The sequence below is a fragment of the Homo sapiens genome, chromosome 6 (assembly GCF_000001405.40).
Source record: "Homo sapiens chromosome 6, GRCh38.p14 Primary Assembly".
Taxonomy (NCBI): domain Eukaryota; kingdom Metazoa; phylum Chordata; class Mammalia; order Primates; family Hominidae; genus Homo; species Homo sapiens.
In genome coordinates this window covers 132713065-132740416 of record NC_000006.12, presented here as the reverse complement: position 1 = coordinate 132740416, position 27352 = coordinate 132713065, and the positions used below count along the sequence as shown (strand labels likewise).

General features: G+C 40.2%; 1 protein-coding gene and 1 pseudogene across 7 annotated transcripts in view; both read left to right on the top strand.

The window, feature by feature from the left end:
- The first annotated feature begins 5651 nt into the window (after positions 1-5651).
- Positions 5652-17630, top strand: VNN3P (vanin 3, pseudogene; annotated as a pseudogene). Of its 6 annotated transcripts, none has more exons than NR_173395.1 (7): positions 5652-5937; positions 6034-6164; positions 11438-11676; positions 13579-13695; positions 15438-15811; positions 16510-16683; positions 17363-17630. The product of NR_173395.1 is annotated as a vanin 3, pseudogene, transcript variant 5 (transcript). The 6 variants fall into 6 exon arrangements; NR_173391.1 differs by having other exon boundaries at positions 13405-13695; NR_173393.1 differs by lacking the exon at positions 11438-11676 and having other exon boundaries at positions 13405-13695.
- Positions 26362-27352, top strand: part of VNN1 (vanin 1) — a 33207-nt gene continuing 32216 nt past the window's right edge. Inside the window, exon 1 of the mRNA NM_004666.3 lies at positions 26362-26591. Coding sequence (NP_004657.2) covers positions 26382-26591 — 210 coding nt within the window. The 5' untranslated portion in view covers positions 26362-26381. The remainder of the gene's footprint in view (positions 26592-27352) is intronic.

Below are 27352 nucleotides of genomic sequence, written 5' to 3'. Positions count from 1 at the left end.
GTGAACAGACAAACTACAGAAAGGGAGAAAATTTTTGCAATCTATCCTTCTGACAAAGATTCAATATCCAAGAATCTACAAGGAACTTAAACAAAAATTTTGCAATCTATCCACCTGACAAAGGCCCAATATCCAGAATCTACAAGGAACTTCTTTTCCACAAGAAAAAAAACAAACAACCCCATTAAAAAGTGGGCAAAGGGCATGAACAGACACTTCTCGAAAGAAGACATTTATGCAGCTAACAATCACATAAAAAAAAAAAAAAACTTAGCTGGGCATGGTGGCTCATGCGTGTAATCCCAGCACTTTGGAGGCTGAGGCGTGCTAGTGCTATGATCAATACAAGGACCAGAAATGGATCAATTCTACCTTGGAAGACCAGAAGGATGTCACAGACAAGCAGAATAAGATAATCAGGGCATTCTCAATAGAGTTAGTCATGCATGCAAAGACATGGAAGTATGCTTCAAGCAGTGTTTAATGTATTACGGAGGAAGAGGATGCAAGGAGGAAGGATAAGGACAGACGATGTAAAAAATAAGACTAGAGAGATAGTCCAGAGTCAGTGTTGAAACACAAATGAAGTCTAGACTTTATCCAGAAGCTGAGAGAAAGACACATTGAAGAGTTTTAGAGTCAAGTAGCCATGAGGGACTAAACAGTTTAAAAACTAGATAAATTTGATGGCTTTTTGAAGGATGGAGTGGAGAAAGAAGTTCTAAAGGCAGAGTGGCCAGGAAGGAGCCAGTTGCAGCAGTCCCCTCAGGGTAGTGGAGACAGTACAGGGACATGCTTGAGGAACAGCAAAGAAGTCAATGCAACTGGAGCCGAGTGAACATGGGAAAAGTAGTAGGAATTGTTAGAAGTGACAGCTTATAGTGGTTTTTTTAGGCATTGTAAGAACTTGGCCTTTTACTCTGAGTAAAATCGAATGCCACTGATAGGTTTTTTTGTTTGTTTATTTGTTTGTTTGTTTTTTGAGATGGAGTTTCACTCTTGTTGCCCAGGCTGGAGTGCAATGGTGCAATCTTGGCTCACTGCAACCTCTGTCTCCCGGGTTCAAGTGATTCTCCTGCCTCAGCCTCCTGAGTAGCTGGGATTACAGGTGCATGCCACTGTGCTCAGCCAATTTTGTATTTTTAGTAGAGACGGGGTTTCTCCATGTTGGTCAGGCTGGTCTCAAACTCCTGACCTCAGGTGATCTGACCGCCTTGGCTTCCCAAAGTGCTGGGATTACAGGTGTGAGTCACTGCACCCAGGCCATTGATAGGTTTTGAGCAGAGGAATGATATGATTAGTCTTATATTTTGATAGAATGGCTCTGATTGTTGTTGTGCAAAAGTAGAAGTAGTGGTACAAAAACCAGGTGCAAGGGTTTGGGAATAATCCAGACTAGTGATAATGACGGCTTGGACCACAGTTGGTGTAGTAAAAGACCACTTGCTTGAACGTGTGTAGAGTGAGAGAGACAGAAAGAAGTAAGGGTGACTCCAAGGGTTTTGGCCGGAACAAAAGGGAGATGAGAGAAGCCGTTAATTGAGATCTGAAAGACTGCTGGTGAAAGAGCATCAGGAGCAGAAGGTCAGGAGCTCAGTTTTGTTCATGTTGATCAGATAAGCCTTCATACAGTCAAGTGGAGATTTTGAGTAGACTGTTGCCAGATATAAGAGTCTAGAGTTCTCAAGAGAGGTTTGAGGTAGATATATAAATCTGTGAGTCACTAATATTAAATATATAGATGGTATTTAAAGAGATGAAATGGATGTAATCACCTAGGAAGTGAGTGTAGATAGGAACAGAAGACTTCCAAAGGTTGGGCTCCAGGGTGCACCAGTGTTGCCAAGTCAGGGATGATGAGTAGAAACCAGAAGAAAAAGTCCAAAGAAACAAAACAAAGTAAACAAATACAAAAACTAAGAAGAAAGAAAGAGGAAAACTAAAAGGGTGTGAAGAAGAAAGTACATTAAGAATGGGATAATGGCAGCTTTGTCAAGTACTACCAAGACATTGAGTAAGATGACATTGAGAATTGACCATCAGACTTAGTAATAGGGAGATTAATGGGAACTGGACAAGGCAGTGAAGTCATGGGGGTAAAATCCTGTCCATTGGGAGGACAGGAATTGAGGCAAGGAGTACATACCATCGTGGAAAGGAATTTTGTTATAAAATAAAGCTGAGAAATGGAGCAGGAATTGGAAGGGGATGTCAGATCAAAAGGCTTTTTTTTTTAAGATAGAAAATGTTACAGGATAGTTGTAGAATATATAATAGGATATTTGTGTTTTCTTTATTGTATCCAATAGAGAAAGAAAAATTGATGATAAACAGTAATGGGGCTGGGCACGGTGGCTCATGCCTATAATCCCAGCACTTTGGGAGGCCGAGGTGGGTGGATCACTTGAGGTCAGGAGTTCTACACTAGACTGGCTAACATGGTGAAACCCTGTTTCTACTGAAAATACAAAAATCAGCCAGGCATGGTGATGTGCGCCTGAAAGCCCAGCTACTCGGGAGGCTGAGGGAGGAGAATTGCTTGAACCTGGGAGACGGAGGTTGCAGTGAGCCAAGATTGGGCCACTGCACTCCAGCCTGGGTGATGGAGCAAGATTCCATCTCAAAAAAAAAAAAAAAAAGGCCGAGCATTGGTGGTTCACGCCTATAATCCCAGCACTTTGAGAGGCCGAGGTGAGCAGATCACTTGAGGCCAGGAGTTTGAGACCACCCTGGCCAACATGATAAAACTCCATCTCTGCTAAAAATACAAAAATTAGCCAGGTGTGGGGGGCAGATGCCTGTAATCCCAGATACTTGGGAGGCTGAGGCAGGAGGATCTTTTGAACCTGGGAAGTGGAGGTTGCAGTGAGCCAAGATTATACCACTACACTCCAGCCTGGGTGGCAGAGTGAGACCCTGTCTCAAAAACAAACAAACAAAAAAATAAACAAAGTAAGAGAGAAGAACTTCTAGAGCAATGTCCTTGGGATCCAGTGCTCAAAGATAGGGGCTAGACTTAAGTAGGGTCAAGAGGAGTCATTTACAGTAAGGATGGGGGGAGGCAGAATTTACAGGTACAAATGGCTGGCAGGTGGGTTGATACTTGGTGGGAGCTTGTGGAAAGGAGTTCTTTTGAGTTGGATAAATAGGCCTGAAGTTCAGAACGGAAGTTTGAGCTAAAGATAGAGACACAGTCATTATCCTTTTGTAGAAGATAGTTGAAGGTATGAAGTAGAAAAAAACCTGGGGCCAGGGGAGAGGGTAGAGTAAGGGACTGAAAGACAGTGAACAACAATGTGGCTACTGGCCATAAGTGCATTAAGAGTTTAGAGAAGGGAATAGCAACAAGACTGGAGAGGCAATGGATTTGAGCTCGAAAGGCAGGATTTGGTCAGAATCATTCCAGGATCAGAGCAACAGTGATCATGTTACAATAAGAAGAGTACTTTTAGCTAAGAACACAAAATATAAAATGGAACCAAGAGAAAGAAGGCTCTTACTGTCTGCTTTGATTCAATATATGCATGGGAAGTATCTTAATTAATGACAGCAATGGTCAAGGGAACTCTAATGGATTACAGTATTGAGGGTTAGGGTGGGAGGAGTGGGATCAGAGAGGCTGATGGAGAGCCTGAAAGAATTCTTATTTATGGGGTCAGGAACTTGATAAGGAGAATGGAGAGGAGGTTTTACAATGAGTTTAGAAATAAAGATTTGGGGAAAGCCAGTAAACTCTTAGATATTTTATTACAGCACCTCTCCTTTAAGATGTGTCCCTTACATATTTAAAAGAAGAATTATATTTATTGTAATACAAAACTTCTGACTCTAAACTTCTTAATCCTACAATAATGCCAGACTGTCATAAGGATTATGTACCAATACAGTGTTTCAAATAACTCATAGCTGCACGCCTTATACACCTAGGAAGCAAAGACATTACTAACAACATTGGGTAATCAAATATTTAACTCAAGTTTCTATTGATTTCAACACACAAAAAAAGCTGGTACATTTCCTGGAACTAGGGGCTGGGAGAATGAAGGGGAATTCCCATATGTTTCCTTTTGATTCTATTCAGAAAGTCAGGTGAACCAAGAAAAGAGTTAGAATTTCAACTTGAAATATGAAAATTATTTTCTTCTCATCCCAGATCAATCCATCTGTTTTACATAGTTTCCCTCTTCTCCTCAGAAATTTTTTTGGAAAAGAACTTATGTCTGATGTCTGATGAAAACAATTTATGTCAGACATAAACTCAGAATTTAGGGCTGAATTTATGTTCATATGTCCTTATTTCCTGAAATGGTATCAGGGCATAAGGACATATGGAAACACTGTGGGGTATCTGGGAGCAGAAATATTTGGATAATGGAAAAGTTTATTGAAACCAAGGGACTTTGAATTATAGAAACAAACCAAACCCAAAATAGACACAAATCTCCATAACTTACAATTTTCCTTAGATCTTAGAAAGAATCTCAAGAGGGAGAAGCAGTGTTAATTGTTCTAGAATCAGAGATTTAAACCTTAAAAAAAATTCTACATTTTAAATTAACTGATATTCAAACAAGGAGATTCAATCCAAAATTGGGCGAGGGAAGTGAATTTAACTAATCAAAAAACATTTACAGAGCTTAGCACAGTATAAAATTCTATAGAAGCAGCAGAGAATTATAATGTGACCCTGCCCTTAAGGGACTTATAAGGATGATATGTTTAAAAAATAAAAGAATTAAAGGAGAACTTAACACTTTTTGAATTATTGATTAGTCTTCATATGGAAGCGGGTTTAAACTGTAGAAGACAGGTAAAGTAAATTGCATCTCAATAACAAGAATGTTCTTAAAATTGGCAATGTTCAAAGGTGGAATAGACTGGCCCATCAGGTAGTAGATTCCGTCATTCAACATTCATTCATATATTGAGCTTTCACCATCTGTCACACATGTGCTGGGGTGATGAGGTTCAACAGTGAGCAGGACACTTCCCTTACCCTCCAGGGGCCACATCCCAGGATACATCATCTCTGTCTAGATGTTTATTGGACATGGATGTTCTGAAAGAAAACAGCAAGTTTCTTTTTAATCTCTTTAAGAAGACAAAACATACATATATAATATTAAGTATTGGTATAATATTTAAATTAAAGGTCAAGACAACAGCAAGGAGTGAGAGACATTCAGCAGCACAGAAAAAAATGCTATAGGAGTTCAGAAATATCACTTAGGACTGGAGTGGATTTGGGAGGACTCTAGGGGGAGCTGGAACTTAGACGGATGGAGAACAAGGGCTTTTCAAATAGAAATGGCCATACAAATATGTAAGTAGAGTGCTCAACAAATTGTTGCTATGATGACTACCTTCCAATATTGGCCCTATTAATAGAAATGTTGGCTTACCAGGAAAATTTTTTTTTATTAGAAAAGACTTCAACTGCCAGTGTGTTTTGGACTGGGGTGAATTCATCTGGTTGGCTCAATCTTTTAGTGTTGACTTGACTCTGAACAATGTCAACAACTGCACTGTACACTTGAATCAATCCAATTACGTCCTGGCTGTCAGTTTTCTTGCACAACATCCTTTCTCAATGCTGTGTTGTGTAATATATGTGCAAGAAAATATAAACAGCTGATTGCCAGGAGGGATTTAATGTAAAGTTTTTCCAGTGAAACAAAACGTAAGAATCTGAGTTTGTTTTTCAAAGATCACTAAATTTTAGTTATGATTATATCACATTTTCCAAAATGTGTGGCAGTTTTTGCCCTCCTTGCTCTGAGTGTTGGTGCACTGGACACTTTTATTGCTGCAGTATATGAGCATGCGGTGATATTACCAAACAGAACAGAAACACCTGTTTCAAAAGAAGAAGCTTTGCTCCTGATGAACAAGAACATAGATGTTTTGGAGAAAGCAGTTAAGCTGGCAGCGAAGCAGGTATTACCCTTTTATACTTGTAAAGGAGACTTGCAGTTTGGTCAAAGAGTATTTGGAATTCATGACAAACTTTTTTGCCCCACTTGTTTCGAGCAGGGTGCACATATCATTGTGACCCCAGAAGATGGAATCTATGGTTGGATCTTCACCAGGGAGAGCATTTACCCCTATCTAGAGGATATACCAGACCCTGGAGTGAACTGGATTCCATGTAGAGACCCCTGGAGGTAATATCATATCATTAATTTCTAAACAAAAAGTTGTGATTTGGTAAAACACCAACAGTAAACTCACTGAATTTGACTGGTAATTGTGTTGATAAATAGTCAATCTGTGGCATAGGATGTAGATGCTTTTTTTTCCCTGTAATTTCAACTTTTAGCTTAGATTGAGGGAGTACATGTGCAGGTTTGTTACATGGGCAAATTGCATGACGCTGAGGATTGGGGTACAATGATTGCACCACCCAGCATAGTATACAACAGGAAGGTTTTCAGCCCTTGCCTTCCTCTCTCTCTCTCCCCTCTATTAGTTCCCAGTGTCTATTGCTGTCATCTTTATGGCCATGAGTTCCCAATGCTTAGCTCCCACTTATAAGTGAGAACATGCAGTATTTGGTTTTCTGTTCCTGTGTTAACTTGCTGAGGATAATGTCCTTTGGTGCTGCAAAAGACATGATTTTGTTCCTTCTTGTGGGCACCTAGGTTAATTCCATATCTTTGCTGTTGTGAAAAGTGCTGCGATGAACATACAAGTGCACGAGTCTTTTTGGTAGAATGATTTCCTTTCCTTTGGGTATATACCTAGTAATGGGATTGTGAGTCGAATGGTTGCTGTGTTTTAAGTTCTCTGAGAAATCTCCAAACTGCTTTCCACAATGGCTGAACTAATTTACATTTCCACCAATAGTGTGTAAGTGTTCCCCTTTCTCCATAGCATCTTTTATTATTTGACTTTTTGTTAACAGTCATTCTGACTGGTGTGAGATGATATCTCATTGTGGTTTTGCTTGGCATTTCTCTGATGATAAGTGATGTTGAGTGTTTGTTCACGTGTTTTTTGGCCACTTGTATGTCCTCTTTTGAGAAGTGTCTGTTCATGTCTTTTGCCCACTTTTCAATGGGGTTATTTGTTTTGTTTTTGCTTATTGATTTAAGTTCCTTATGGATTCTGGATAGTAGACCTTTGTTAGATGCCTAGTTTGCAAATATTTTCTCCCATTCTGTAGGTTGTCTATTTACTCTGTTGATAGTTGCTTTTGCTGTACAGAGCTCTTTAGTTAAATTAGGTCCTACATGTCAAGTTTTGTTTTTGTTGCAATTGCTTTTGAGGACTTAGTCATAAATTATTTTCCAAGGTTCATGTCCAGAATGGTGTTTCTTAGATTTTCTTCTAGGATTCTTATAGTTTGAGGTCATACATTTAAATCTTTAATACATCTTGAGTTAATTTTTGTACATGGTGAAAGATAGGGGTCCAGTTTCAATCTTCTGCATATGGCTAGCCAGATATTCCAGCACCTTTTGTTGAATAAGGAGTCCTTTCCCCATACTTATTTTTGTGAACTTTGTTTGAGCTACAGATGGCTGTAGGTGTGCGGCTTTGTTTCTAGGCTCTCTATTCTGTTCTATTGGTCTATGTGTCTGTTTTTCTAACAGTACCATGTTGTTTTGATTACTGTAGCCTTGGGTAATGTGATGCCTCAGGCTTTGTTCTTTTTGTTTAGGATTGGTTTGGCGATTCAGGCTCTTTTTTGGTTCCATATGAATTTTAGAAATTTTGTTTATAAATCTGTGAAAAAATGACATTGGTAGTATGTTAGAAATAGTGTTGAGGCTGGGTGCTGTGGGTCATGCCTATAATCCCAGCACTTTGGGAGGCCAAGGCAGGTGGATTACTTGAGATTAGGAGTTTGAGACCAGCCTGGCCAACGTGGTAAAACCCCATCTCTACTAAAATACAAAAATTAGCTGGGTGTGGTGGTGTGTGCCTGTAATCCCAGCTACTCGGGAGGCTAAGGCATGAGAATTGCTTGAACGATAGAGTGAGACTCTGTCTCAAAAAAAAAAAAAAAAAAAAAAGAAGAAAAGAAATAGTGTTGAATCTGCAGATACTGCTTATGTTTCATAGTGTATATCATCTGGCATATCTCCTGTTTGGTAAATGACTTGAGATACTGATGACTAGTTGGTTATTTGTTGCAATTGTCTTTCAACAATAGTAGGTGTGACCAGGCGTGGTGGCTCACACTTGTAATCCCATCACTGTGGGAAGCCAAAGCAGGAGGACTGCTTGAAGCCAGAAGTTTGAGACCAGCCTGCGCAGCAAAGCCAGACCCTATTTCGGCAAATAAAAAATTTAGCCAGGTGTGGTGGCTCACACCTATAATCCCAGCTACTCGAGAGGCTGAAGCAGGAGGATCACTGGGGCCCAGGAGTTTGAGGCTGCAGTGAGCTATGATTGCACCACTGCACTCCAGCCTGGGTGACAGTAAGACCTTGTCTTAAAAAAATAGTAGGTATAGGCCGGGTGTGGTGGCTCACGCCTGTAATCCCAGAACTTTAGGAGGTGGAGGTGGGCAAATCACCTGAGGTCAGGAGTTCGAGACCAGCCTGGCCAACATGGTGAAACCCCATCTCTACTAAAAAATACAAACATTAGCTGGGTGTGGTTGTGCATGCCTATAATCCCAGCTACTCGGGAGACTGAGGCAGGAGAACTACTTGAACCCAGGAGGCAGAGGTTGCAGTGAGCCGAGATCACGCCACTGCACTCCAGACTGGGCAACAGAGTGAGACTCCATCTCGAAAAAAAAATAGTAGGTATATACACAATTTTTATAGTAAATGTGTTTAATTGGGTTTGAACAAAGTGAAAAAGTTGGAATATCTAGAACCTGTGTCCCAAATACAAGTAAGTTGGTTCATCCATGGACACCTGCCTCCTTCACAGGAAGAGTAAAAAGATGAATGAGCCTGTTTCCAAAGAGCTTTGCTATCACTGTCATTCAGAATGCAATCAATATGGCCAATGGAAATTGTATAGGACTTGAAAAAGGAAGCCCTACTTCTGGGACCACATTTTACGACCACCTAGCTGAGTGATGTAAGCGTATAACCTAAATGCTTAACATTTCTGTTTCATTATCTGTAAAACAGGGATAATAGAGTCCCTTAATTCTCTTACAGATCAGACAAGAGTAATGAAGTAATACACATGGAATTTGTACATTGTGATGCACTCTCCAATGCTAGCTGTCACTATTCCTTTTTTTTTTTTGTTAACAGAAGGGACTGAGTCTGAACTTCTTTGTGTTCTTGTCCTTTGAGAGACTTTAGTAATTATTAGTAGATGTAATTTAGGCATAACTTTCTTAAAGAAAATATGCATAATAAATATGATATCTGTGAAATAGATTATTTTAGTTGTATTAACTTTTAAAAATAGTTTAAGATTATTTCTTTAAATGGCAAAATTGATGGGTTAAGAAGTCATTTAACTTGCTAATTTTAAATTTACATGCACCTGTTTAGAACTACACCTATTGTGCAAAAAGAGAAACTTCTTTGATAATTTTACCTATGTGAAATTAAGTGGAAAGTCATGCTTAATGGTACAACATTCAGGCTCAGCTATGTGAGTCAAACCTCACTCTGGGATTTTGCCCTTTGGAAAAATATTCTCTAAACATTGCATGGTCTGTGTTTACAGAAACCATGTCACTATGATTCAACATCTACTTGCTTATGAGGCGTTTCCCAGAACAGGAAGGAATCATTATTTGCTGCAGTTGATGAGGCTTACACGAAAATGTACTGTATTTGACTGGGCTAATGAAACTGACTTTTCCAGGGAAAATATATCCATAAATTTGATAATTAGCTATCGATAAATTATTTTAAGTTGGGAAAGTAGGTGACTGATGAAATGTCAACATTATGAACTCTTACACCTACTTATTCAAATGACAACGTTTCAGTTTTGTGTTACAGAAAGGAGAAATCCAGTATTTAATATAATGATAATATTGGAAAAGAAAGTCAGTTTTCTCCCTGGTGATATTTATCCCTGAAGAGAATAGTAGAGAGGCATGCGGTCATCCTTGTGCATTTAAATATTTAGAATGCTGACATGTCAAACAGTTCCATGGGCTTTTTTCACGAGTAACTAGTAGGAAATATTAAATAACTCAAATTATTTAGTCAAGAAAAGAAAAATTAAACAAAGTACATGATAAAGTTATTAAAGGTCTTAATGAATATGAATATTAATAGTACTTCTCTGTTTTTTTTAGAAGAAAATAAAAAGAAAAGGTCTAAACCAGTAGGCCATTAATCTGTCCTTTTTATTCAAAGGTTAGTTTAACCTCAATTGCAGAGGGGCTGTGAGTTCATAGAGAGACATGGAATGGCCTCTAATCACACAATCCATAATAGCAATTTTCATTTACTGAGCACTTACTTGGTCCCAAGAACTGTACCTGGTATACTATACCCATTATTACATTCAATTTATGTAGTTGGCATTACTATTTGCATTACAAATATGTGAAAAAAGGAAGGCTTATGATCTCATGATTGATCATTAGATTGGCTGGAATTAAAACAGCTATGTCATTTAACTGTGCTAACGGAATGGACTCTAAGGGCCTAGATGAACCATATTATAATAAAATTTTTAGTGACTAGCAAATCCACTTATTTAACAGAGTGAGCTGGTTGCTAAACATTTTTTGTCTTATTTTCTGCTGAAATCTGCCTCACTTTAACTTCCTTTCGTCTTTTTCCTGCATTCTATGCTATGTTCACACATATGACCCATCTCCTATAAATTAAGCCTTTCAAATATTTGAAGCCAGCTATCACCATGCTACATTCTCTTCTTATACCAAGGATAAATATCTTTAATATGGATGGACTTGGTAAAACAATTTCATGTCTGTACTTATCTCAGGATTTCTCATGTGGATCCACTAAGGCAGAAAGGAAGCTATTGTTTTACATTTGACAGATGAAGAAACTGAGTCAGTACAGTGAAGTGCTTTTTATTTTTTATTTTAATTTTTAACATTTCCACTACTTACAGCTATATTTGTTTTTTTATAGAGACAATCTGGAGGGTACAAACTATTTACTGTCACCTGGCATTTCTGTTTCCAACCACATCTCGTATCAGCAACCTTGTACAAATTATGGCTTGGATTATAGAAAAGGTCCTCTCCATTAGCAGAATCTGCTAAATTTCAAGTGCTTCATATATCTTCCTGGGAGCACTTCATAAGAGAATGTGCTGCTTCTTTTCATCCTCCTCTTCCTCTTCCATCTTTTCTTTCCTTCAGTCTTGTACTGTAATCTGGAGTTTGGCATAGTAAATTAGGTTAGCTTTCAGGAAGATAAACACTGTATCACATGAGAGTTTTAAAATATTTTCTGTTGATTCTTGACCTAGAGCTGTTGTGTTATGGGCAATGGGCAAATAAAGTATCACTTTGGTATTTCAGAAATCACTAAAATATAGTAAGTTTGAGGAAATGTCTATTGAATTAGATTCGGCAACACACCAGTGCAACAAAGACTCAGCTGCCTGGCCAAGGACAACTCTATCTATGTCGTGGCTAATATTGGGGACAAGAAGCCATGCAATGCCAGTGACTCTCAGTGTCCCCCTGATGGCCGTTACCAATACAACACTGATGTGGTGTTTGATTCTCAGGGAAAACTGTTGGCACGCTACCATAAGGTGAGCATCACTTGTGCCTTAGCTCAACTTGTTACTTCTTCTGTGTGCTTGTGGTATGTATGTGTGTTTGTTTGTTGAATGTTGGGGAGAGAACTGTTATAGATGCATCTTATAATTATTACATCATAGTTGAAAAGGAGATTTAATTCAGTTCCATATAACCGTTCTGGGTTTGCATTTATCATAAAACAGAATATGGTAGAGTATTTAAATGGATGTGACAATAGCCACACAAAGCTTTTAATGTTCTCTGAAAAAGAAGTAAACATTCTGTTTCATTCATGATTTAATATCAGGTTCATTTTTTAGCCCAATTTGTTAGCATTTCATACTAAGCTACCATGTATTCCATTAGGACTTTTTTGATTGCAATGAAAACAAAACCTCAAATGAAAATGGCTTTAAAAAGATGGAAATTTCCTTGCTTATGCACATGTAAAAATGTGTATCATAGAAAGGACAGGTCTCATTTCAGTGCAGTCTGACACTCAGAGGCTCCAAAGTTATCATCCACCCCTCTAGCTCTCCTAGCCCTTTGTTACAGCTTCTTTCTCAGGGGAACTCTCCTTTTAGAAGCCACATTGCTGGAGCAACACGAAATTCACATCTTTATCAACAAAATCTACAGGAAGGGTGTATTTCTCCCTCCTAGAACCTTGCAAAGGCCTTATCGCTCCTTGATTCAATTAGGTGACGTGCCTTTCCTGAGCTAATCACCAAAGGATGAGGGATAGGCTGCCACATGGGAGGAGAAAGGAGGAGCAAGAGGCCTCCATGGACCACAGAGGTGGGAAGTAGCTCTCCCCAGAGCACACACATGCACACAACAGGCCAAACAAAAACCTGAGCAAAACATATGCTGTACTCCTGAGCCCAGGTTAAGTGGAGTTTTGGAAAAAGAATCAGGCTGAAAAATAAAATAAAATTATGAATGGCTTACTAATTAATAATATGTAGCAACTGCATTGTCTAAATTAATTTTCAATGGACTTCACTTCTATAAACCTGGCAGTATCATTGGGACACATGACAAAGTTTATTTTATTAACATAGTAGTGCTGTTGAAATTTAAAGAATATAGTGGAAAACAATCTGAGAAGTGTAGGATTCAAGATTTCAACCTGTGATTTTAAGATACACATTTTCACATTTTAAATATCATTTGTACATGTGGTTTCATTCATTGGTTGTAAAAAAAATAAAGTTTTTTTATTAATGTCACAGTAAGAAAATGTATAGATGGTGGTATAGTGGGGATGATTTTTACAAATGTATATGTAACAGTTTTATTTTGTTGTTGTTGTTGATTTTGGAAATGGAATCTTGCTCTGTTGCCCAGGCTGGAGTGCAGTGGCGCGATCTCGGCTCACTGCAACCTCGGCCTCCTGGGTTCAGGGGCTCCCCCTGCCTCAGCCTATGAGTAGCTGGGATTACAGGCATATGCCATCATGCCTGGCTAATTTTTTTTGATATTTGTAGTAGAGACAGGGTTTTACCACATTGGCCAGGCTGGTCTCGAACTCCTGACCTCAAGTGATCCACCCGCCTCAGCCTCCTAACATGCTGGGATTACAGGCGTAAGCCACCACACCTGGCCTATGTGTAACACTTTTAAACCTGCATGTCAACATACATGAGAGGAAAGATTTAACGGGGAAAGACTTAACTGATCACATCTATTTGGCAGTTTTCTTATTAATTTTCTTCTTCTTTGCTTTTTATTAACAGTACAATCTTTTTGCACCTGAAATTCAGTTTGATTTCCCCAAGGATTCAGAACTTGTGACTTTTGACACTCCCTTTGGGAAGTTTGGCATTTTTACTTGCTTTGACATTTTTTCTCATGACCCAGCTGTGGTGGTGGTGGATGAGTTTCAATTGACAGCATTCTCTACCCCACAGCATGGTACAACACGCTGCCCCTCCTCTCGGCTGTTCCCTTCCATTCAGCATGGGCCAAGGCCATGGGAGTCAATCTACTTGCTGCAAATACCCACAACACCAGCATGCACATGACAGGTAACTCACGCGGGCCTGCACCAAGTGGGAGTGACAGTCTTAGGAAGGCTTCATTGATTTTCAAGCCACAAACTTTTGTTTAATAACTTTATTACCAATTTTAACATCACAAAATTAATAATAGCATTTGTTCCTACTTAAGGAACGTTCATTGTCCTTGTGAATAAAAGAGGCAAACATTATTATCTCAATTTTACTTGAAAGGAAATTGGAGCTGGAGGAAGTCATGTAAAAAAATCAAAGAGAGTTCTAAGAAACTTCCTAGCCAATGTGCATTAGTAATATCGAAATAAGTCTGGTTGTTTAAAGAGATAACCTACAGAGCAGAAGAAAATATTTGCAAACTATGCATTTCATAAAAATCTAATATCTAGAATCCATAAGGAACTTAAACAAATCAACAAACAAAAAACAAACTATCCCATTAAAAAATGGACAAAGGACATGAACAGACACTTCTCAAAAGAAGACATACATGTGGCCAACAAGCATGTAAAAATGCTTAACATCACTAATCATTACAGAAATGCAAATCAAAACCACAATGAGATACCACCTCGCTCCAGTCAGAATGGCTATGATTAAAAAATAAAAAACAAACAGATGCTGGCGAGGTTGTGAAGAAAAAGGAAACACTTATACACTGCTGGTGAAAATGTAAATTAGTTCAGCCACAGTGGAAAGCAGTTTGGCGATTTCTCAGAGAACTTAAAACAGAACTGCCATTCGACTCAGCAATCCCATTAATAGGTATATACCAGAAGGAATATAAATCATTCTACCATAAAGACACATGCACTTGTATGTTAATTGCAGCAGTTTTAGCAATAGCAATAACGTGGAATCAACCCAGGTGCTCATCAACGGTGAAGTGGATAAAGAAAATGTGATACATATACACCATAGAATACTACATAGCCATAACAAAGAATGAAATAATGTCCTTTGCAACAAGATGGATGCAACTGGAGGTCATTATCCTCAGCGAATGAACACAGGAACAGAAAATCAAATACCTCGTGTTCTCACGAGTTGAAGTTAAACATTGAGTACACATGAACACAAAGAGGGGAACAATAGACACCAGGGTTTACTTGAGGGGGGATGGTGGGAGGAGGGTGAGGATTGAAAAACTACCTATTGGATACTGTGCTCACTACCTGGGTGACAAAATCGTTTGCACACCAAACCCCAGCAACATGCAATTTACCCATGTAACAAACCTTCACACGTTCCCCTTCTATACCTAAAATAACAGTTGGAAGAAAAAAATACAAACAAATAAAAATATTTCAAGCATTAAAAAAAACTTGTTGAAGTGATAAAAATCTCTTTTGACTTAATCAGGTTTTTAGAGTTTCTCCTTTATCATATCCATGTTCAAAGTAATGCAGGCTTCCTTTTTAACTGTTCTGTTATTTGTTGAATAACAAATCCCAAACACAAATAAACTAAATCGTCAGTGGAGAGCTAAAATTATTCTTCACGTTGGGGGATTTTCTAGTTTGTTGCTAAGTTAGCTTAAAACTATGCCCCCCAAGTCAAATGATAATTTCAGTGCAAGTAGTACCTTATGGAGGACACAGAGTCAAATTGGAACTTAGGCCAATGTAACAGCTATCTCCTTAACTATCTTGAAAATATGCTTTAATAACTTTGTATTTAACTTCACATGGGAATATTCTATTAGTTGGTCACCATAACAAATCTGAAACCAATGTTTGTATTTATGTTGCTTGTAGGGAGTGGAATCTACGCCCCAGAAGCAGTCAAGGTGTACCACTATGACATGGAAACAGAGAGTGGTCAGCTGTTGCTATCAGAACTGAAGTCTCGGCCCCGCCGTGAGCCCACCTACCCTGCAGCTGTTGACTGGCATGCGTATGCCAGCAGTGTCAAGCCATTTTCCTCTGAACAGTCAGATTTTCTGGGGATGATTTATTTTGATGAGTTTACCTTCACCAAGCTTAAGAGAAATACAGGAAATTACACAGCTTGCCAGAAAGATCTGTGTTGTCACTTAACTTACAAGATGTCTGAGAAGCGAACAGACGAGATCTATGCCCTAGGTGCTTTTGATGGACTGCACACAGTAGAAGGCCAATATTACTTACAGGTAGAAATGCTTTAATATGTTAAAGTGGCCTTATTATCAGTTTTTCTTCTAGGTCATCATTGCCTTTCTTTGAAAATTGGGCTGGATTTAGCTAATTTTATAATTAGTAATGTTATATTTATCTCTGAATTTTGTCCCCAGAACACATTATTTGTTCAGTCTTAGCAAGAACAGAATTAGTTCTTTTAGTTGAAAGGCAAAAACATAAAGCAAATTGATTAGTTCTCAGCAGGCCAGGTTCAGGTTTCAAAAGCTGCAATTTCTGTGTATTCTCTTTTCCCGTCAGGTTACTTTAGAGCAGTGTTTTTCAAATTGTCTTCAACTAAATCCAGAGAAAGAAGGATATTTTACCTCATAACCCAGTGTAGCCAAGTGGATGTGTGACTGAATAAAAAAAAAGATATTTAATTGAAATAGTTTATGAAATAATTTAAAATAGAATTAGAAATAGCTATTATTATGTGCAATGCACTCTGATTTTTAAAATCCTAGTCTATTCTATTTGACTTCAGTATAAAAAGTGTTAATCCTGACCCACTATATTGACTTTAGGATTCATTAATAAGTTGTTACCTGCAGTTTGAAAAATACTTCTTATGAGGCAATTTAAATATGCATTTATAGTTTGAAATTGCATTATTTAGCTGAGAAAATATTTGCAAGTTTTCTGACTCCTTCTCTTTTCTTTTCTTCCATAGATATGTGCATTACTGAAGTGTCAAACCACTGACCTGGAAACGTGTGGAGAACCTGTGGGGTCAGCTTTTACCAAGTTTGAAGACTTCTCCCTCAGTGGCACATTTGGAACGCGTTATGTTTTCCCACAGATCATTCTAAGTGGGAGTCAGCTTGCCCCTGAAAGACATTATGAGGTAGGAGGTGTGCAGGATGATAAATTCCTTTGAGCAGAGTAGATGGGTAGAGCAGCATAATGAAAATCTTTGAAATAATGAGAGTATAGCAATATCGTGGTTCACATTCTACAAGAAACACCTTAAATATGTGGAAACTATGATATGGAATATAAATTGTGGTTTTAGATTGCCATTAGGCTGTGATGGAGAATTTGGGGTTCATTTTTTTAACATAAATGTGATGTTGATATTCAAGGCAACAGGAAATTCACAGAGAAGCTAAAATAAAAATGTTGACTGCTGATAATGGCAATAATGTTGTCATTTGCATGGTGTAGAAGGTGCAAATTAAATACATTAAATAATGCATCTACAACTTATTTTCTGGGTATACTATTTTGAGAAGTTGTTATAATTATAGTAATAACTAATATTTTGTATAGTGTTTCATGAGTTTGAAGAACATATTTTTATACATATTATTTGACCACCTGTGCAACAAATTTGTTGGCTGCACTTTCGCACAAAGTCCCTCTACTTTCAGACTTGAAACATGAACCTGGGTCTTCCAACACCAAATCCTGTGTGATTTTTACCATTCTACACTGCTTTAGGAGGGAGTGATCTTGCCTGAGAAGGGCTCTAGGTTGTAACCTAAACTCTGCACTGAAGTTAACCCTTTGCTTTCTTTGACCAGATTTCAAGAGATGGACGCTTGAGGAGCCGAAGTGGAGCCCCTTTGCCTGTCTTAGTTATGGCCCTGTATGGAAGAGTGTTTGAGAAGGACCCTCCACGCTTAGGGCAGGGATCTGGGAAATTCCAGTGATCTCCTTTAGCAGAGCCCTTTTAGGATTAGCCTGGCTAAGAAAGGAAGAAAAAAAAGAGATCCGTTAGTGTCTGTTTAGAAAAGATGTTATAAACTTACAGAAACAAATATAATAAACTGAAGCAGATTTGAAAAGCAACAAGTGTGTGTGCAAATTTCACATTTTACATGTTTGGTATAGCACAGGTTCATTTATGGGAGCCGCATTCATCCTCCATGTATGTGAGTTTAAGTATATGTAAGTATGTATATGTATAGTGGAGCGTATATTTAAATAGGAGGAGGTCCTAGAAAAATCCTTTTGCAGTAACTGCACTAATGTATGCAAGTGTTGTTTCCATCATATGATGGTTAATTTTATGTGTTGATTTGACTGGGTCATGAGATGCCCAGATAGCTGGTTAACCATTGTTTCTGGGTGTGTCTGTGAGGGTGTTTCAAGGAAGAGAACAGCATTTGAATTGGTGGACTGAGTAAAGCAGACGGTCCTCCCCAGTGTGGATGGTCATCGTCCAGTCCCTTGAGGGCCTGCAGAGAAAAACAAGAAGGAGGAGGTTTGAATTCATTTTCTGCCAGACTACTTGAGCTGGATAGAGATCTTCTCCTGCCTTCATGTGCTCCTGGTTCTCAGGCCTTCAGGCCTGGACTGGAATTGACACCATCAACTCTTCAGCTCTCAGGCCTTCGAATGACACCCCTGGCTTTCCTGCATCTCCAGCTTGCAAATGGCAGACCAGACTGTGGGATTTCTCAGCCTTCATAACTGTCTGAGCCAATACCTTATCATAAATCTCTTTCTCTCTCTCTCTCCTGTTGGTTCTCTTTCTCTGGAGAACCCTGACTAATGCACTTCATTTGTAAATACATAGGATGAACTTTGAATATGCAGAGGGTATTTGATTCCAGCCAATTAAGATACAGGAAATTAAAGAATAAGGACATCTTTTAAAGTAACTATGAACAACTTTTTAGCTAGTATTGTCCCTTTAGTCATGACTAATTTGACTCCTAAGTTCTATTTATATGGAAATTGGATACTTGAAATGGATTTTTTTTTTTTTAATTTTTTTGAGACCGAGTCTCACTCTGTCCCCCAGGCTGGAGTGCATGCAGTGGCACAACCTCGGCTCACTGCAGCCTCCGCCTCCCTGTGTAGGGAAAAGAAAGAGAGATCAGACTGTTACTGTGTCTGTGTAGAAAAGGAAGACATAAGAAACTCCATTTTGAACTGTATCCTGAACAATTGTTTTGCCTTGAGATGCTGTTAATCTGTAACTTTAGCCCCAACCTTGTTCTCACAGAAACATGTGTTGTATGGAATCAAGGTTTAAAGGATCTAGGGCTATCCGGGGTGTGCCTTGTTAACAATATGTTTACAGGCAGTACGCTAGGTAAAAGTCACCGCCATTCTCCATTCTCGATTAACCAGGGGCACAATGCACTGCGAAAAGCTGCAGGGACCTCTGCCCAGGAAAGCCGGGTATTGTCCAAGGTTTCTCCCCACTGAGAGAGCTTGAGATATGGCCTCTTGGGATGGGAAAGACCTGACCGTCCCCCAGCCCGACACCCGTGAAGGGTCTGTGCTGAGGAAGATTAGTAAAAGAGGAAGACCTCTTGCAGTTGAGATAAGAGGAAGGCCTCTGTCTCCTGCATGCCCCTGGGAATGGAATGTCTCGGTATAAAACCCGATTGTACATTTGTTCTATTCTGAGATAGGAGAAAACCGCCCTGTGGCTGGAGGCGAGACATGTTGGCAACAATGCTGCTCTGTTACTCTTTATTACACTCTGGCCTACATGCACATCCAGGCATAGTACCTTCCCTTGAACTTATTTGTGACACGGATTCCTTTGCTCACATGTTTTCTTGCTGACCTTCTCCCCACTATCACCCTGTTCTCCTGCCGCATTCCCCTTGCTGAGATAATGAAAATAGTAATCAATAAATACTGAGGGAACTCAGAGACCGGTACCCATGCGGGTCCTCTGTATGCTGAGCGCCGGTCCCCTGGGCCCACTATTCTTTCTCTATACTTTGTCTCTGTGTCTTATTTCTTTTCTCAGTCTCTTATCCCATCTGACGAGAAATACCCATAGGCATGGAGGGGCTGGTCCCCTTCATCCCTGGTTCAAGTGATTCTCCTGCCTCATCCTCCCAAGTAGCTGGGACTTCAGGCACACGCCACCACATCTGGCTAATTTTTTATATTTTTGGTAGAGATGGGGTTTCATCATGTTGGCCAGGCCAGGCTGGTCTTGAACTCCTGACCTCAAGTGATTTGCTATCCTTGGCCTCCCAAAGTGCTGAGATTACAGGTGTGAGCCACAGGGCCAGCCAAAACAGAAATTTTTTGAAAAATAAATTAGGTCAGCTGGGTGCGGTGGCTCACACCTGTAATTCCAGCACTTTGGGAAGCTGAGGTGGACAGATCACCTGAGGTCAGGAGTTTGAGACCAGCCTGGCCAACACTGTGAAACCCCATCTCTACTAAAAATACAAAAATTAGTTGGGGGTGGTGGTGCGTGCCTGTAATCCCAGCTACTCGGGAGGCTGAGACAGGAGAATCACTTGAATCCAGGAGGCGGAGGTTGCAGTGAGCTGAGACCGCATCATTGCACTCCAGCCTGGGGCAAGAAAAGCAAAACTCCGTCTCAAAAAATAAATAAATAAATAAATAAATAAATAAATAAATAAAATAAATTATGTCGTTCAGATCACATCTCATTTCCTTCTGAAATTATTCTGTTCTGAAATCTACCCAATCTTGGTTGAGCCCTTCTCAGTGGTCAGGGGTTTATTGCAGGCTGTGCCAGGCTGGGAGCTTCCTAGACAGGACCACCATGTCACCTTTTCCCCAGATACCTCTGGCCCACTGTCTTGGCTCTCTTAGTCATTTTTCTGGTTGGTCACTGATTAACTCTGGAAAGAGATATGCTGAAGAGCAGCTGGGTTCTCTGGGTTATGTAGGAGACACCTCTTTGTCCACAGAATGTTTGACAAACGCATTTCTGAACTTTTCCTAGGTGTTTATTTCCACCTGCTATAATTCAGTCCAGTACCAGTAAGTCAGAGATATTCTGGGTGGCAGAAAATGCACTCGGTTTCCCCCTCCCATTTTTCCTGGATTCTCTCTTCAGGGACTATCACTCTCGGATCTTAGGTTTGTGCCCCCGATTCCTCTGTGTGCAGTAGGTGGGCATCTTCCCTCTTTATCGCCTTACATTTGTTCCTTCTAGAATTCTTTCTTCTCTTTCCTAAGCCAGTTGTCTGTAGGCTGCATTATGTACTCTGGTTGCCCCAGCTTCCTTGGCACCTCTCACCTCATGGCATTTTTATGTAAGCTGACTCCTGCCCCCCTCTTTATTAAAAGGAACTTTAAAATCAAATCTCGGGGCAGGCTACCATAACTCACACCTGTAATCTCAGCACTTTGGAAGGACAAAGCAGGCAGATGGCTTGAGCCAAGGAGTTTGAGACCAGCCTGGACAATATGGCAAAACCCTGTCTCTACAAACAATAACAACAACAGCAAATTAGCCGAGTATGCTAGTGTGATCCCAGCTACTGGAGAGGCTGGGGTGGGAGGATCACTTGAGCTCAGGAGTTGGAGGATTACTTGAGCCCAGGAGATAGAGGCTGCAGTGAGCCAAGATTGTACCACTGCCCTCCAGCCTGGGCAATAGAGTGAGACCTTGTCTAAAAAAAAAAAAGTCAAATCTCATGGTCAGTTCTCAGCTCTTACTAAGCCTGTACTTCTTGGAGTAATTTTACCCCCCACACTTTAATGCCTTTCGCTTTTTATTTTCGTTGACCTTTTTGTCTCTTCTCCCTCCTCCAACCACATTTATTTTGTTTGTCATTGATATAAATGATGCACTCTGCTAGACTCAGCTCTCACAGCTGTATCTTCCTTATCTAAAATCTTTCTATGGATAGTGAAGCCACTCTTATGGCTTTAATTAATATTTCTGATACAGCAGAGTATAACTCACTGGTAAACAAAAAAATTTTTTCTTTCATGAGAGCAAGTTCAAGCCACATCATCATGTTTACAGGCTACATTAACAATGCAAAAATAGTTTTATTAAGTCCTATGCAGAGATATGTATTATTGTAACATTAGCAACTTGTGATATTACAGTTCCTGGCTTATAACTCCCATATCCTTTGTTAGGGTTTTTTTTTTGTTTGTTTGTTTGTTTTAACATTAGGGGGTTTTAGGCCTCAGGAGCAGGCCTCATGAAACAGAATCTCCCTCTCTGACCTTACCCTGTCCTCCCTTTACCTACCTAAGGCAGGACTATAATCTGATTGTGGCTCAAAAGACCCTCATTTCAGAGAGGGTCCCACCCCATACCCTAGAGGAAGAAATGCTATAAAGAGATGTCAAGACAAACCTGAACAGACAAGCTTTACTGGGTTTCCCCACTCAAACTGTTAGTATGGGATCATAACCTTTTTGTCCAATCGCATTTCTACATGGTTGTCAATCGTGACTATGTAATGAAGCTTCCATAAAAACCCAAAAGGACAGGGTTCGGAGAGTTTCCTTACAGCTGAACACGTGGAGGGTTCCTGGAGGGTGGCACACCTAGGGGTGCGTGGAAGGCTCTCCAGTCCTTCCCCCATACCTTGCTCTATGCACCTCTTCATTTGTATCCTTTGTAATATCCTTTACAATAAGCCACTAAAGGTAAGTGTTTCCCTGAGTTCTGTGAGCCACTCTAGCAAACTAATTGAACTAAAAAAAAAAGGGGTCATGGAAACCCCAACCCAGAGCCATTTGGTCGGAAGATCTGGAAGCCCAGACTTGTTACTGGTGGGAAGGAGGGGGCGGTTTTGTGGGACTGAGCCCTTAACATGTGGGATCTGATGCTATCTTTGGATAAATAGTATTTGGATTGAACTGGAAGATAGCCAGCTGATGTCTGATGCAGAGTCAATTGCTTGCTTTCTAGTGGGGAGAAATCTCCACCTACTTGGGAGTAACCAGTCTTTTGTGTTAGTTGTTGTGCTATGAGACCAGAGGAAAAATGGATTGTTTCTCCTAAAACCAGATTAATGTCAACAAAAGAATTGACATTGTGTTGTAGCCACTAAATATTAAAATATGGGCGTATATTTTGAGTAGCAATGCAGAGGCCGACTGCCAATCAATCTTTTATCAGACACAAGTATATGGACACACTTTTACATGCTGTGCACATGGCTTTTCAGAGTTCACCAGGTGAAGTGCAAGAGGCAGTGCCCACTCCACTCAGTCCTTGCTCTTCCCTCCTTTTCCCTTGTTTCTGGTTCTCTCTGCGTAAGCTGGGCAGGACTTGCTTCTGAGTTCCTCTGGGGACCTGCTGCCTGGGGTGGGGTGATCACTGCTGTGCTAGCAAAATCCAGAATACTGTGGGTCTTGCCCTATTCTGGACAGTGCGATGTCATGTTTTCCTTGCAAAAGGCAATCTGCTCCATCTATGCAAGTTTGGTTGGAGGAGTCTGGAGGTATCAATTAGGGCTTTTGTCTACACTCAAAGTCATTTCCTTGGAGACAATTCTCCCAGTTTCTACTTTGTGTGAGCAGAAGGGCTGCATTTGGGGACCTTGGCTGGCTGTAGCAGTAGGGTTAAGGATCCAGAGAACCAGCCTAGGAGTTGTAGTAGAGGCTGCTGGTGCCTCCCAGTTCCATGTCCTGCTGATGATACTCTACTGCAAGAACTGCACTGTTTCTATTTCTATTTCTTTCTTTCTTTCTTTCTTTTTTTTGAGACGGAGTCTCACTCTATCACCAAGCTGGAGTGCAATGGCGCAATCTCGGCTCGAGGCAACCTCCGCCTCCCGGGTTCAAGCAATTTTCCTGCTTCAGCCTCCCGAGTATCTGGATTATAGGCGCCCCCGCCCCCCACACTGCTCCCTTCCATGCCCAGCTAATTTTTGTATTTTTAGTAGAGACAGGGTTTCTCCATGTTGGTCAGGCTCATCTCAAACTCCTGACCTTTGGTGATCCTCCCGTCTCGGCCTCACAAAGTGCTGGGATTATAGGCATGAGCCACCGCGCCTGGCCGAACTGCATTATTTCATCTGAAGATTTGCTCTCAGCTAGTACATGCTAAGTAGGCCAGAAAGGGTAGATTCATGTGGCAGTGACATGCTGGAGGAGGGACAAGGTTATTGGTCCTATGATTTAGTCTCAGTCTTTTAGTGAGCCTGTACCCCTGGGTTTATGAACTTCACTTGGCTTTTTTCTTCTGCCATTAGTTGGCATAAAAACAAGCTAGAGATGAGATTTTCCCTTTCCCCAAGTTAAAGATTAGAGTGGCTGGGGTTGGCATTTTTCCTTCCCCTAGGTAGGTTAGGCTCTGGTAAAATACTTTACTTTGAGGGCAGGCTTTTGTTAAGAAGAACAGACCAGAACTCTCAAGGTTGTCCACCCTGAGCCTCCACCAATTCGTCAATTACAGTTCAAGTGAACCCACGGTACTGGCGCCAGCCGCAGAGGACTCTGCTCGCAGTACACTCTTAACCTCTGTATCTGCCTATCTCTGCAGTTCTGAGGACCGCAGTTTATCCTGTGATCTCAATTCTCTGATGCATCCTAGAAAAGTTGTCGATTTTCATTTGTTTAGCTTTTTTCTTGGTGTGAGCATGGGAAAAATGACTGCCAAGCTCTTTATGAGTTGGACTAGAAACTCCACGGGAGGTTTAATATTTTTAATCTAAGAAGGTCAAGAAGTAATTTTTTAACCTCTTGCCAACTCATCTCAGTTTTAACTTTTATTTCAGTGCTTCCTTTTACAAATTGTTACATAATAATGACATCTTTTTGTGAAATATGTGGTATTCCCACCCACCTGGGCATGGAAAGGCCCTAAGAGGTCAGCAAGCAGTTAGAGAAGCTGGTGTTTACCGGAAACTCAGGAGAACCAGCCAACCACAACCCCTGGGTTACCTTGGCAATTGCAGAATAAATGCATTATAGTTACTAAAGTAAAAAATTAGATATGCCTGTTTGCAGATTGAACTATAAAAATACCATTCAAAGACAAATAGATCTAAAAATAAAATGGAAAAACATAAACACTAATTCTGTAAATATTATACTTAATGCACAACTGAAACAAAATTTGCCAGCTTACTCAATATCAAAATCTATGAACAGTTTTTCTATTTTATATAATTTCCCTCTCCTCTCTCTGGATCTCGCTCCCCAGCTCATTTTTTCTTTTTTTTGCTCTGATTCTTTATACACCTCTGTTGCCTCTGTGATAAGCAGCTTCAAAGATGGTTCCTAATGCTTTATTGGATAGAATACAACAAAAGCGATGAGGTGTTGCTTCCCCAATTACATTACGAAGCATCCGTGGCTTCCATCTCCAGTGGGTTCACTTGCTGTCTGGCTCTAAGGGAATCCAGATACCATAATGCGGGCTGCCCTATGGTGAGGTTTGCATCACTAGGAACTCATGTCTCTGGGCAACAACCAATGAGGTCTTGATCCCTGCCGTCAGCCACATGAGGGAGCTTGGAGCTCGGAAGTGAATCCTCCTGGAGTCAAGCCTTGATATAGCTAGCCCTGGCAGCTGCTTGACTGCAGCCTTGTGAAAGAGACCTTGGGCCAGAGGCACCAGCTAAACTGCCCCTGGATTCCTGACCCAGAGAAAGTGGGAGATGATGTATTTTTGCTTTTTGAAGCTGCTGAATTTGGGGATAATTTGTTATATAGCAATAGAAAATGAGTAACTCTTTTGTATTCCTCTTTGTCCTGGCTTCCCCATTTTGAGGAAAATAAAGTAAATCAAAGTGTAGAGCTGAAATATTCACATGAAAATAATAATAAAGTTTTAAAATTATTTGAATGTCTTGTGTTGACATTCCAAAATATATGAATTCCAAAAATTTATATGTTGAAGTCCTAACTGTCAGTATCTTAGAATGTAACTTTTTTGGAAAAGGGGTCATTTCAGATCTAATTAGTTAAGATGAAGTTATACTGGAGTACAGTGGGCACTAAATCGAATTGGTCCTATGATTGAGTCTCAGTCTTTCAGTGAGCCTGTACCCCTGGGTTTATGACCTTCAGTTGGCTTTTTTCTTCTGCCCTTATTTGGCATAAAAACAAAGCAGGTGGATCACCTGAGGTCAGCAATTTGAGACCAGCCTGCCCAACACGGCGAAACCCTATCTCTACTAAAAATACAAAAAATTAGCCTGGCGTGGTGGCGGGCGCCTGTAATCCCAGCTACTTGGGAGGCTGAGGCAGGAGAATCACATGAACCCGAGAGGCGGAGGTTGCAGTGAGCCGAGATTTCGCCACTGCACTCTAGCCTGGGTGACAAGAGTGAAACTCCATCTCAAACAACAACAACAATAAACAAACAACAACGATGACAAAAAAAGCTAGAGCTGGGATTTTCCCTTTCCCTGTGTTAAAGATTAGAGTGGTGTCCTCACAAAAAGGGAAAACTTGGATACAGGCACACACATGGGGAGAATAGCATATGAAGAGACACAGGGAGAAGGCAGCCATCTATGGGTCAAGGAGAGAGGCCTGGAACACATCTTTCCTTCACCGCCCTCAGGAGGAACCAACTCTGCTGACACCTTCATCTGGGACTCCCACCCTCCAGAACTGCAAAGCAATAAATTTTTTATTTTTTACACCACCCAGTTTATTGTATTTTGTTAGGCAGCCCTAGCGAACTAATGTACATAGAGTTCTTGAGTTAATCTTCACAAATTACTGCAATAAGGTAGGGTCTTTTGTTATGTAACAATGCTATGAAATCATAGCGTTTTCTTAATTAACTTCCGTAGTTTAAGGTACTAAGTTCTGGACACCACGTGTCTTCTTTCTATAAATACCAGGACATGCTCTGTTTTTCAGCACTCATTGGACTTCAGCATGACTACTCAGTTGCCAGCTTACGTGGCAATTTTGCTTTTCTATGTCTCAAGAGCCAGCTGCCAGGACACTTTCACTGCAGCTGTTTATGAGCATGCAGCGATATTGCCCAATGCCACCCTAACACCAGTGTCTCGTGAGGAGGCTTTGGCATTAATGAATCGGAATCTGGACATTTTGGAAGGAGCGATCACATCAGCAGCAGATCAGGTACCATCTCTACCATCTCTCCAGTGTACTGGATTCTATGAGAAAGGAGGGGGTCCTAGGAGACAGGGCCACTGTCAGGGTCAGTTACACTTTTAGATGATATATGTATCAGAGTAGCCAAGAACCTTTATTTTACAGTTAGAATTCTACTTTCCTCTCAAAATTAGAGCAAGGACTTCCCTAAAAGTAAGAACAAAGTTAAGAAAAGAACAATTTGCTCATTATCAAGAAGCAGCAGACCTTTGAGGAACTGGCCATAAATTCAACATCTTTGTTCCCCTTTTCTGGTACAGATGGAGGATGGAGGATAAATGGGTCAGGGACTAGGTGCTATTTTCAGAGTATTAGTGGCCTTCATGTACTCATGTGCTATTAAGGCTTTGCAGGTTTTCGAATAAATTTATAATCTGAAAACAAATTTAAGTTTTCAATTCCTTGCCAGCATGCATTATATACTTCACACTTCATTCTAATTACAAGATAAAAGTATATGTAATGCATTGTGAGTCCTTAAGTTTAGTGAAGGTTTCAGTTTGAAGTTAATCATACAGTATAAATTGTGGTTTACACAAATATTATTTTAAAAGCTATTGATCGATTAGGTGTAGACCAGGAATACATGAAGTGTGATAAAAGTCATGGATAAATGTGTATTACATATATCTATAAATATATATTCTTTTGTGTTGTTGAGTTAAGGTCTCACTCTGTCACCCAGGATGGAGTATAGTGGTGTGATCACGTCTCACTGCAGCCTTGAC